The sequence below is a fragment of the Homo sapiens genome, chromosome 3 (genome assembly GCF_000001405.40).
Source record: "Homo sapiens chromosome 3, GRCh38.p14 Primary Assembly".
Taxonomy (NCBI): Eukaryota; Metazoa; Chordata; class Mammalia; order Primates; family Hominidae; genus Homo; species Homo sapiens.
The window spans coordinates 121,304,944-121,317,978 of NC_000003.12; the positions used below are offsets into that span (position 1 = coordinate 121,304,944).

Below are 13,035 nucleotides of genomic sequence, written 5' to 3' on the forward strand. Positions count from 1 at the left end.
ACTGATCCAGAAAGAAGAAACATAATTAATACCAGGAGTGAAAAAAAAGCATCACTGAATTCTACAGACATTAAAGAAATAAAGTAAGATTATTAACTCTATTCCCAGAAATTGACAATTTAGATGAAATTAAGAGATTCCTTGAAAGACAAAACTCACCAAATGTAACACCAAACACATTGGAAAATATAAGTAACCCATATCATTAACATTTTTTAATTCAAAATTAAATACCCACAACAAAGAAAACTACAAGCCACAGGTGGCTGCACTTGTTAATGCTATCAAACATTTAAGGAAGAAGTAACACCAATCTTATGCAAATTCTTCCAGGAAATAAAAGAAGAAGGAAATCTTTCCAACTGTTTGTCTGAAACCAGCACAATGTTGATAACTAAAACTTGACAAAGGCAGTACAATAAAAGTACAAGTCAGTCTCATTTATGGAACTAGATGCAAAAATCAGATATAAAATATTAGCAAATGGAAGACAAACATATAAAAGAAAGATAAAGCATCATAACCAAGGTGGATTTATCCCAGGAATGCAAGTTTAAAATTTGAAAATCAATGAATGTAAAATACTGATTAACATAAGAAAGGAGAAAATAATACAGTCATATCAATACATGTGAAAACATTTGATAAAATTAGATATTTTAAAATAAAAATCCTTAACAAAACAAGAATAGAAGAATATTTCCTCAATAGAATAAACCGTACTAAGAAAAATCTACAGCATCATACTTGATTGTGAAATACTGACTTTTTTTTGTAGAATCAGTAACCAGGGGAGGATGTTTACTATCATCACTTTTATTCAACATTTAGTTCATAACCTAGTAAGGACAAAAAGCAAGATTAAAAAATTATATGCCTAAAGATTAGAAAGAAAATTTAAAACTGTCTTTACTTGCCAATGGTATGATGGTGTATGTAGAAAACCCAAAGGAAACTACAAAAATAATAAGTGAATTTAGCAAGACTGAAGAACACATGTCAGTAGACAACAATTAATTATATTTCTATATAAATAACAGCAAACAATTTGAAAATGAACTTTAAAAAAATACCATGTACAGGATAGACTTCCAGCTGGCAGCCTGAGGAGTATCATAGACTTATTCCTGAGTGGAAGAGCATAATTTATGAAAGCTATTTTAAAAACAACCATGTAAAGTCTCCAGAAATTGTCGTAAGGGCATATAGCAAATGAAGACATATTTATTCAAGAAAATCTACTGAAACTTGGTAGAAACAATGAGAGTCTGTGGCACTTGAACCACAACTCACTTAATTCCTCTCCCCCTTCCAGGTTGCCAGCATTTCTCATCCCCTCCAACTCCAAGTTGAAGAGACCAAATTCCTGGGAAGTGTTACCAAGAGGTCAGAGGCTCCCTTCTGACCATTCCCCAATGACAGGACAGAAGCTCTACCCCAGGCATAGACCTCAGTACCATAAAATATTGAATCCCTGATTGCCCTTACCCCATCTTGCTCATAGGGCAGAAGTTTTATGCTTGAAAAGATAAGCTGAGAAGACCAGAGGATACCACCTTTGCCCAAGGCCCAGACTAGTGGCTCAAAGGTTTTGCCCAGGAAAGAAATGCGGTCTACGTGAATAGAGAGCTTCAAAGCCCTCCCCAAAGTGACTAGCCTTATATGAAACAGTGTGGGAAAGTTCAAGCCTAAGTGTGCTCTCAAGACCAATGGGAAATTTGGTGATAATGAAATAAGAGGAAGTAATTGATAGCACCTCTTAATTAGGGGCAACAGACTAGACCAGTGAGAACCAATGAACGAGACTGCTAAGAAGAGCCTTCCTGGGATTTAAACCTCAAAGACTAGCCTGAAAAATGACCCCTTATCAAATTAAATTAGATCAGAATACTGTACAATGTATGTCCCAGGGTACTGTCAAAAATAATAGAACATCTGGTGGATGCTAAGCTTGAAAAACAATAAAATAATAGACCAATTACCCAGCTGTGATTTGGCAGTGTAACAGCTGTATATGATATTAACAGAGGCAGACAGGTTAACAGAGAGATGAAGGAGATAGTTAAAGAGAATCCTGCTAAAATCACTGCCATCCCAGAGTGACTATATACACTGAATACTGTGCCTTCTGAGAAGCAACCTCAAAGTCTTCACAATGTAGAGGAAATAAACCTCATGAAAATAGTCTAGCCGAGTCACTGAATAAATAAATAAGCAAACAGCAAAAACTGGAGAGGGGAGAGAGGAATCAGTCGTCAGTACCCAGAAGTGATACAATATATTACCTAAAATATCCAGTTCTCAACAAAATATCATGAGACTTGCAAAGAAACAAAGTGTGGCTCATTCACAGGGAAAAAAAGCAACAAAAATTTCCTGTGAGAAGGCCCAGATGTTGGATTGAACAGACCAAGACCTCAAAACAACCATTATAAATATGCTTAAAGAACTGGAAGACACTATGCTTAAAGAAGTAAAGGAAGCTATGATGACAATGTCTCATCAAATCAAGAACATAAATAAAGAAATAGAAGTTACAAAAAGAACCAAATGGAAATTCTGGAGTTGAAAGGTACAGTAAGTGAAAAGAAAAATTCAGTAGTGGGACTCAACAGTAGATTTGAACTAGCAAAAATAACAACCAGTAAACTTGAAAATAGGTTAATAGAGACAGTGCATTCTGAAGGACAGAGAGAAAAAAATATGAAGAAAAATAAAGTCTCAGAGAAACATGGGACACAATTAAGTGCACCAACATATACATAATAGGATTAGCAGAAGGAGAGGAGAGTTAGAGAAGAAAGGAGAAAAATATTTGAAGAAATAATGACTGAAAACTTCCCAAATTTTATGAAAAACATTAATTACACATCCAAGAAGCTCCATGAACTCCGAGAAGATAAATGGAAAAATATCTACAACCAGATGCATCATAGTAAACATGCTGAAACACGCTACAAGGCAAAAAACAAAAAGAAAATCTTGAAAGCAATAAGAGAAAAATGACTTGTCACATACATGGAACTCTTACAAGATTAACAGCTCATCAGAAACAATGGAGGCCAGAAGGGAATGGGATGACATATTCAAATTGGTCAAACGAAAAAACTGTCATTCAAGAAACTTATATCCAGAGGGGAACAACACACTGGGGCCTGTTGTTGGAGCAGGGGGAGGGAGAGCATCAGGATAAATAACTAATGCATGTGGGGCTTAATGCCTAGGTGATGGGTTGATAAGTGCAGCAAACCACCGTGGCAAACGTTTACCTATGTAAGAAACCTGCACGTCCTACACATGTATCCCAGAACTTAAAATAAAATTAAATTTTTAAAAAAACCTCATATCCAGCAAAAGTATTTTTCAAAAATGTAGGTGAAATAGACATTGTCAGGTAAACAAAAACTGAGAGAATTTATTACTAGCAGAGCCACCTTACAAGAAATACTACGGGAAGTTTTTCAGGCTGAAAGAAAGTGAACCTAGATTGTAATTTAAATCTACACAAAGGAACAAAGAGCATGTTAAGGTAACTATGTAATTATGAAAGAGTATAAATGCATATTTCTTCTCTCAGCTGATTTTTAAAGCAATTTATAAAACAACATATATATAATTGTTATTTGGGGATCTATAACATAGAAATTAAATACATTTGTCAGTAAGAGCATAAAGGAAGTGGGTGGGAGCAAAGTTCTGTTTCAGTAAACAGATTATTCCAGATGATAGCCTGGATTCACCAGAACAAATAAAGAGAATAAAAAATGGTAAATGGTAAATCAGAAGGTTATAAATATATGCTTGTTCTTCTTATTTCTTAGCTTTTATAAAAGAAATAAAATTATATAAAGTAGTAATTATAATGTTTTATTGGTTTGTAAAATATATAGATTTAATTTGTATACCAATAACAGCACATAAGAGAGAATACAGCTATTAAAAATTAACATTTCTGTATCTCACTGGAATTAAGTCAGTATACATCTGAAGTAGACTCTGATTGGATATATACAGTAAGTTCTAATGTATACGGTAAGTTTTACCACTAGGAAAACTCCAGAAAATATGGTGAAAGATTAATCAAAGGAATGAAATGCTGCACAAGAAAATATTCACTTAATGCCAAACAAAGCAGTAAAAGACTAGAGGATCAAAAAAAAACATGAGACAGAGAAAACCAAAAGGAAAATGACAAGTGTAACCCAACTATATCAATAATATTAAATGTTAAGTGATTAAACAATCCAATCAAAAGACATAGATTGTGAGACTTTTTTTTAAAAAATCAAGATCTGCCTATATGCTGTTTATGAGAGAGATTTTAGATTTAAAGGTGTAAATAGGTTGAAAATGAATGGGAAAAGATCATATGAACAACAGCCATAAGAAAACTGGAGTTACTGTACTAATACCATTTAAAAAAATAGATTTTAAAGCAAACAGAATGTCACTAGAATAAAAAGTGACCTTTTATAATGATAAAAGTGTCAATCAAGATGAGACAATAATTAAAACATATATGTCCCAAATAACAGAGTTACAAAATACATGAAGCAATGCCTAACATGATCAAAAAGAGAAAGTCAATAATAATTGTTGGAAATTTCAAAGTTCCACTTTTAAAAATAGATACAAGAACTAGACAGAAGATCAAAAAAGAATTAGATGACTGGAAAAATGCTATGTAGAAGACCTCGATACCAAAATCTCCAAAATATTGCAGAAAGAAACATTTAAAAAATTATTTAAATGGAGGGGAATACCAGGTTTACAGGTTGGAAGACTCACCTTTTAAAAGATCTTTATTCTACCAAATTAAGCCATATGTTTATCACAGTCCTATAAAAAAATCTAACATATTATTTGTAGAACTTGAGAAAGTGATTCTAAAATTTATGCAGAAATGCAAAGGATCTGGAATAACTAAAATACTCTTGGAAAAGAAGAACAAAATTGGAGAACTTCACTACCTGATTTCAAGATGTGCCTTAAAGCCACATTAATTATGATAGTGTGGTAATTGAAAAAAAGATAAATAAATGGATCATTACAGAATAAAAAGTCCAGTAATAGATCCACACATGTATGGCCAATTTGTTTTTGACAAAGGCACCAATAAAAATCAATGAAGAAAGTCTTTTTAACAAATAATGGTGGAACAACTGGGCAAACAAATAGGAGAAAAATGAACTTTAATTCCTACTTCACGTCACAACCAATCATTTTTAAAGTTCTAGAAGAAAACAAAGAATAATATCTTCATGATCATAGGTTTGGCACTGACTACTTAGGAATTAAAAAGAAATTACAATAAAAATAATAAATTTTTCTTCAAGTAAATTAAATTTCTGCTCATCAAAAGGCACTATTAAGAGGCCAGGCATGGGCTGGGCACAGTGGCTCACGCCTGTACTCCCATCACTTTGGGAGGCCGAGGCGGGTGGATCACGAGGTCAGGAGATTGAGACTATCCTGGCTAACACGGTGAAACCCCGTCTCTACTAAAAGTACAAGAAATTAGCCAGGCATGGTGGCGGACACCTGTAGTCCCAGCTACTCTATTCCGAAGGCTGAGGCAGGAGAGGGGCATGAACCCAGGAGGCAGAGCTTGTAGTGAGCCGAAATCGTGCCACTGCACTCCAGCCTGGGTGACAGAGGGAGACTCCGCCTCAAAAACAAAAGAGGCCAGGCATGGTGGCTTATGCCTGTAATCCTAGCACCTTGGGAGGCCAAGGCAGGTAGACCACTGGAGGTCAGGAGTTTGAGACCAGCCTGGCCAACATGGTGAAACCATGTCTCTACTAAAAATACCAAAATTAGCCAGGCATGGTGGCCCACACCTGTAATCCCAGCTACTTGGGAGGCTGAAGCAGGAGAATCACTTGAAGCTGGGAGGTGAAGGTTGCAGTGAGCCAAGATCGCACCACTGCACTCCAGCCTGGGCAACAGAGCAAGACTCTGTCTCAAAAAAAAAAAGACACCATTAAGCAAATTAAAAGATAAATCACATACTGAAAGAAAATATTCACAATGCCTATTTTTGACTAATAATTCTTACCTAAAACATATGAAGAATTCTTACTACTACATAACACAAATATAAGCAGTCCAACATAAAAAATAAGCCAGAAATTTGGATAGAATCATGAAGATATATGATTAGCCAATAAGCATGTGAAAATGTTCCAACTATCCATAGTCATCAGAGAAATTTAAAATCATAATAAGATACTACTATGACCAGAAGGACTAAGATTTTAAGAGACTATTACCTAGTGTTGGTGGAGATATTGAGCAATTGGAACTCCCGTAAGTTGCTACGGAGAATGCAAAATAGACAGCCCCTGTCATTACCATAGTGGAAAGACTATGGAAGTATTTAAAGGAAAAACACAAACAAATCAAAGATTTTGACATATAGGTATTTATTGTGGCTTTATTTAGTATAGTAAAGATTGGAAAATCCAAATGTTTCACAATGGAGGAATGTTAAATTAAAAGTGTGGTATATCTTTATAATGATTTGATAAATTTTTAAAATGGTGGAATTGTTTATGAAATAAATGTTATATACAAAAATCACAAGCATTCTTATACAACAATAACAGACAAACAGAGAGCCAAATCATGAGTGAACTCCCATTCACAATTGCTTCAAAGAGAATAAAATACTTAGGAATCCAACTTACAAGGGACGTGAAGGACCTCTTCAAGGAGAACTACAAACCACTGCTCAATGAAATAAAAGAAGATACAAACAAATGGAAGAACATTCCATGTTCATGGGTAGGAAGAAGCAATATCGTGAAAATGGCCATATTGCCCAAGGTAATTTATAGATTCAATGCCATCCCCATCAAGCTACCAATGACTTTCTTCACAGAATTGGAAAAAACTACTTTAAAGTTCATATGGAACCAAAAAAGAGCCCGCATCACCAAGTCAATCCTAAGCCAAAAGAACAAAGCTGGAGGCATCAAGCTACCGGACTTCAAACTATACTACAAGGCTAGAGTAACCAAAACAGCATGGTACTGGTACCAAAACAGAGATATAGATCAATGGAACAGAACAGAGCCCTCAGAAATAACGCTGCATATCTACGACTGTCTGATCTTTGACAAACCTGAGAAAAACAAGCAATGGGGAAAGGATTCCCTATTTAATAAATGATGCTGGGAAAACTGGCTAGCCATATGTAGAAAGCTGAAACTGAATCCCTGCCTTACACCTTATATAAAAATTAATTCAAGATGGATTAAAGACTTAAACATTAGACCTAAAAGCATAAAAACCCTAAAAGAAAACCTAGGCATTACCATTCAGGACATAGGCATGGGCAAGGACTTCATGTCTAAAACACCAAAAGCAATGGCAACAAAAGCCAGAATTGACAAATGGGATCTAAGTAAACTAAAGAGCTTCTTTTTTTTTTTTTTTTTTTTTTTATGGCAGAAAAATGTAGTTTTATTTGTTTTGTTTTTGACTTAAGGTATGTCAATCTTTTTTTTTTTTTTTTTTTTTTTTTTTTTTTTATTGATCATTCTTGGGTGTTTCTCGCAGAGGGGGATTTGGCAGGGTCATAGGACAATAGTGGAGGGAAGGTCAGCAGATAAACAAGTGAACAAAGGTCTCTGGTTTTCCTAGGCAGAGGACCCTGCGGCCTTCCGCAGTGTTTGTGTCCCTGGGTACTTAAAGATTAGGGAGTGGTGATGACTCTTAACGAGCATGCTGCCTTCAAGCATCTGTTTAACAAAGCACATCTTGCACCGCCCTTAATCCATTTAACGCTGAGTGGACACAGCACATGTTTCAGAGAGCACAGGGTTGGGGATAAGGTCACAGATCAACAGGATCCCAAGGCAGAAGAATTTTTCCTAGTACAGAACAAAATGAAAAGTCTCCCATGTCTACTTCCATCCACACAGACCCGGTAAACATCCGATTTCTCAATTCTTTCCCCACCCTTCCCGCCTTTCTATTCCACAAAACCGCCATTGTCATCATGGCCCATCACCAATGAGCCGCTGGGCACACCTCCCAGACGGGGTCATGGCCGGGCAGAGGGGCTCCTCACTTCCCAGTAGGGGCGGCCGGGCAGAAGCGCCCCTCACCTCCCGGATGGGGCGGCTGGCCGGGCGGGGGGCTGACCCCCCCACCACCCTCCCAGACGGGGCGGCTGGCCAGGCAGAGGGGTCCTCACTTCCCAGTAGGGGCGGCCGGGCAGAGGCGCCCCTCACCTCCCGGACGGGGCGGCCGGCCGGAAGGGGGGCTGACCCCCCCCACCTCCCTCCCGGACGGGGCGGCTGGCCGGGCAGAGGGGCTCCTCACTTCCCAGTAGGGGCGGCTGGGCAGAGGCGCCCCTCACCTCCTGGACGGGGCGGCTGGCCGGGCGGGGGGCTGACCCCCCACCTCCCTCCCGGACTGGGCGGCTGGCCGGGCGGGGGGCTGACCCCCCACCTCCCTCCCGGACTGGGCGGCTGGCCGGGCGGGGGGCTGACCCCCCCACCTCCCTCCTGGACGGGGCGACTGGCCGGGCAGAGGGGCTCCTCACTTCCCAGTAGGGGCGGCCGGGCAGAGGAGCCCCTCACTCCCGGACGGGGCGGCCGGCCGGGCGGGGGGCTGACCCCCCCACCTCCCTCCCGGACGGGGCGGCTGGCCGACCCCCCCCCCCGCCTCCCTCCCGGACGGGGCGGCTGGCCGGGCAGAGGGGCTCCTCACTTCCCAGTAGGGGCAGCCGGGCAGAGGAGCCCCTCACCTCCCGGACGGGGCGGCTGGCCGGGCGGGGGGCTGACCCCCCCCACCTCCCTCCCGGACGGGGTGGCTGCCGGGCGGAGACGCTCCTCACTTCCCAGATGGGGTGGTTGCCGGACGGAGGGGCTCCTCACTTCTCAGACGGGGCGGTTGCCAGGCAGAGGGTTTCCTCACTTCTCAGACGGAGCGGCCGGGCAGAGACGCTCCTCACCTCCCAGACAGGGTTGCGGCCCAGCAGAAGCGCTCCTCACATCCCAGACAGGGCGGTGGGGCAGAGGTGCTCCCCACATCTCAGACGATGGGCGGCCAGGCAGAGACGCTCCTCACTTCCTAGATGGGATGGCGGCGGGGAAGAGGCGCTCCTCGCTTCCTAGATGGGATGGCGGCCGGGCAGAGACGCTCCTCACTTTCCAGACTGGGCAGCCAGGCAGAGGGGCTCCTCATATCCCAGACGATGGGTGGCCAAGCAGAGACGCTCCTCACTTCCCAGACGGGGTGGCGGCCGGGCAGAGGCTGCAATCTCGGCTCTTTGGGAGGCCAAGGCAGGCGGCTGGGAGGTGGTTGTAGCGAGCCGAGATCACGCCGCTGCACTCCAGCCTGGACACCATTGAGCACTGAGTGAACGAGACTCCATCTGCAATCCCGGCACCTCGGGAGGCCGAGGCTGGCGGATCACTCGCGGTTAGGAGCTGGAGACCAGCCCGGCCAACACAGTGAAACCCCGTCTCCACCAAAAAAAAAACGAAAACCAGTCAGGCGTGGCGGCGCGCGCCTGCAATCGCAGGCACTCGGCAGGCTGAGGCAGGAGAATCAGGCAGGGAGGTTGCAGTGAGCCGAGATGGCAGCAGTACCGTCCAGCTTTGGCTCGGCATCAGAGGGAGACCGTGGAGGGAGAGGGAGAGGGAGAGGGAGAGGGAGAGGGAGAGGGAGAGGGAGAGCGTAAGCGTAAACTAAAGAGCTTCTGCACAGCAAAAGAAACTACCATCAGAGTGAACAGGCAACCTACAAAATGGGAGAAAATTTTTGCAACCTACTCATCTGACAAAGGGCTAATATCCAGAATCTACAATGAACTCAAACAAGTTTACAAGAAAAAAACAAACAACCCCATCAAAAAATGGGCAAAGGATATGAACAGACACTTCTCAAAAGAAGACATTTACACAGCCAAAAGACACATGAAAAAATGCTCATCATTACTGGCCATCAGAGAAATGCAAATCAAAACCACAATGAGATACCATCTCACACCCGTTAGAATGGCAATCATTAAAAAGTCAGGAAACAACAGGTGCTGGAGAGGATGTGGAGAAATAGGAACACTTTTACACTGTTGGTGGGACTGTAAACTAGTTCAACCATTGTGGAAGTCAGTGTGGTGATTCCTCAGGGATCTAGAACTAGAAATACCTTTTGACCCAGCCATCCCATTACTGGGTATATACCCAAAGGATTATAAATCATGCTGCTATAAAGACACATGCACACGTATGTTTACTGCAGCACTATTCACAATAGCAAAGACTTGGAACCAACCCAAATGTCCATCAATGATAGACTGGATTAAGAAAATGTGGCACATATACACCATGGAATACTATGCAGCCATAAAAATGGATGAGTTCATGTCCTTTGTAGGGACATGGATGAAGCTGGAAACCATCATTCTCAGCAAACTATCGCAAGGACAAAAAACCAAACACTACATATTCTCACTCATAGGTGGGAATTGAAAAATGAGAACACATGGACACAGGAAGGGGAACATCACACTCTGGGGACTGTTGTGGGGTGGGGAGGGGGGAGGGATAGCATTAGGAGATATACCTAATGCTAAATGACAAGTTAATGGGTGCAGCATACCAGCATGGCACATGTATACATATGTAACTAACCTTCACATTGTACACATGTACCCTAAAACTTAAAGTATAATAATAATAATTAAAAAAAGAAGCTCATCAAAGTAAAAAAAAATCAGAATATGAAACTCTTTATTGGATTAAAAATCATCATGGAAGGGGCCAGGCGTGATGGCTCATGCTTATAATCCCAGCACTTTGGGAGGCTGAGGCAGGCAGATCACTTGAGGTCAGGAGTTCGAGACCAGCCTGGCCAATATGATGAAACCCTGTCTCTACTAAAAATATAAAAATTAGCTGGGCTTGGTGGCACACACCTGTAATCCCAGCTACTTGAGAGGCTGAGGCAGGAGAACTGATTGAGACCCAGGAGGCGGAGGTTGCAGTGAGCCGAGATTGCACCAATTCATTCCAGCCTGGGCGATAGTGAGACTCTGTCTCAAAAAAAAAAAAAGGAAGAAAAAAGCCAAAATTATGATGAAATTGTGTATTTTTTAATCCTCTCCATCACTTTTCTGTATCTTCCAAGTTTTCTAGAGGGACAAAACTTTACTTCTATAGTCCAAAAAATGTTTATTTTTAAATAATGATTGTTCTGAATAACTATATAGTATTTAATGATGATAATTATAAAATTGTTTAGGGTTTTGACACGTTGTAAATTGGCACAAGGAAGTAGTTTTACTATTATTGTTAGATCCATATTCAGTTCAGTTCCTACCTTCATCAGGAAAGTAGGTAAATTCAGAAGGAGCTAGGGAAAATGACAGAATCAATAGACAGTACAGAAATAGAAAAGATGGTATTTTCCAGACAAATGAGCTTAGCTCTTTAACCACCAAATTTTGTATTTTAAAATTTTGATGAAACTCTTTCTAACATATACATCATGCTTTCTTACTTACTATCTTATAGTGACCAAATCCCATCCTTCCTCCTAGCTGTTTAACTTTGGAGAATTGATGTAATAGCCTTTCTTCCCCTGTTTTCTTATCTGTATGATGGGGTTAATATTATAACCCCTCTAATTATATTGGTAGGTGGGAAAACGATAATTTATATAAAGTATTTAGCGGAGGATTAGGTACAAAATAATAGATACTAGTTGCTGTTATTACTATTACTACAAAGAGCGTGTGGCACAGTAGGCATTCAATAAATTTGATTCACTGACTCAACTTACAGTGATGTCTTTAAAACCTTTCAGAGATCTGTAAAACACCCACCTGTTAAATGGTCCCAGATCTCTCACTCACTAGTCATTACAGTTCCTTTCTCTGCCCATTTTTTCACTGTTGTTCCACGTTACTTTTCTTAATGTTTCTAGTTCTAGCAGCCTCCTCCTCTTTATAACTTGCAGTTTCTAATTTGCTGTCAGATAGCAAAGCCTGTTCAAGTCAGTACACTTTCAAGGAGTGCCTAGAAAACTCTTATAGCAACTCTGTGGATTAACACTTACTGCTTATTTAGTCAAACTTTTTCCTAATTTGTATATCTAGGGTTAAGACCGTGTTCGACATAGTTTAGTTTGATGAATGCCTATTTCCAGATTAATGGTAATATTTATATCAGTAAATATTATGTGTACTATGATTACAAACAGAAATTTAAAATTGGATGAGCATTACATTGAAAGTCTTGAAAATAATGTTCAATGAAGTAAAAAATAGAGCAAACAGTAAGCTTTGCATTTGGTATTCAGTGCTCTATAAGCAATTGAAATATGAGTGCAGAATAAAAAATCTGAGTTCTGTGTCCTTTTCAAGCTATGTTATTGACTTACTTCTCTGACTTTGAATAAATAGCTTAAACTCTTTGAAGTTATAGTTTCTCACTTATAAAACACAAGAGTTGGGCTAGGTTGTCACAAGGCACCTTTTGGTTCCAAAATTCTGTGATTTTTTTTGGACCTACCACAAGCTTATTGCTATAAATTGTATAAAGAAGAGGGTGATGGGAAAGAATAGGAACAAAGATTATTTTGGTCATTGAAAATAGCTCTCAAATGTTTCTGAGCATGGAGACAGATTAAAATAGAAATTATGAATATTTATTTCACAAAAGAAAGTCTGTGAGACTTTCTAACAAAGATAGAAAAACCATAATGAAGAATATTTTACAAATACCATATAAATACAGATTGGCAAGTAGAAAGAATTATAAAATGTTTATTAATCTGTTGTGTCTATTGTTGCATTTGTCAGAAAAGTGGCAGAATAAAAATTAAGAAATATTGGAAAGAGAAAAATATAGTGCTTATTATAAGGAATTTGATACTATTGAACAAAACACAGTATGTAATATACAATACTACATTTTTATAAATAAATATAAAATTTAGAATTTGTAGTTTTTAAAGATCTTTTAAAAGCCAATAATCATATCTCCTGAGAGGATATTTGATTAGGTATTGTTAAAA

The 13,035-nt window shown here is 39.9% G+C and overlaps 1 protein-coding gene across 13 annotated transcripts in view; it reads left to right on the forward strand.

The window, feature by feature from the left end:
* The window catches only part of STXBP5L (syntaxin binding protein 5L), a 516,557-nt gene that overhangs the window by 396,739 nt on the left and 106,783 nt on the right, over positions 1-13,035 (forward strand). For 2 of the 13 annotated variants that reach the window (XM_017007534.2, XM_011513331.3), the window contains one exon: positions 1,316-4,183. The exons of the other annotated variants lie outside the window; for them this stretch is intronic. In XM_017007534.2, the coding sequence (XP_016863023.1) occupies positions 1,316-1,353 (38 nt within the window). In that variant the 3' untranslated portion in view covers positions 1,354-4,183. Of the gene's footprint in view, positions 1-1,315; positions 4,184-13,035 lie in introns of those variants that run through there. 13 annotated transcript variants of the gene reach the window in all.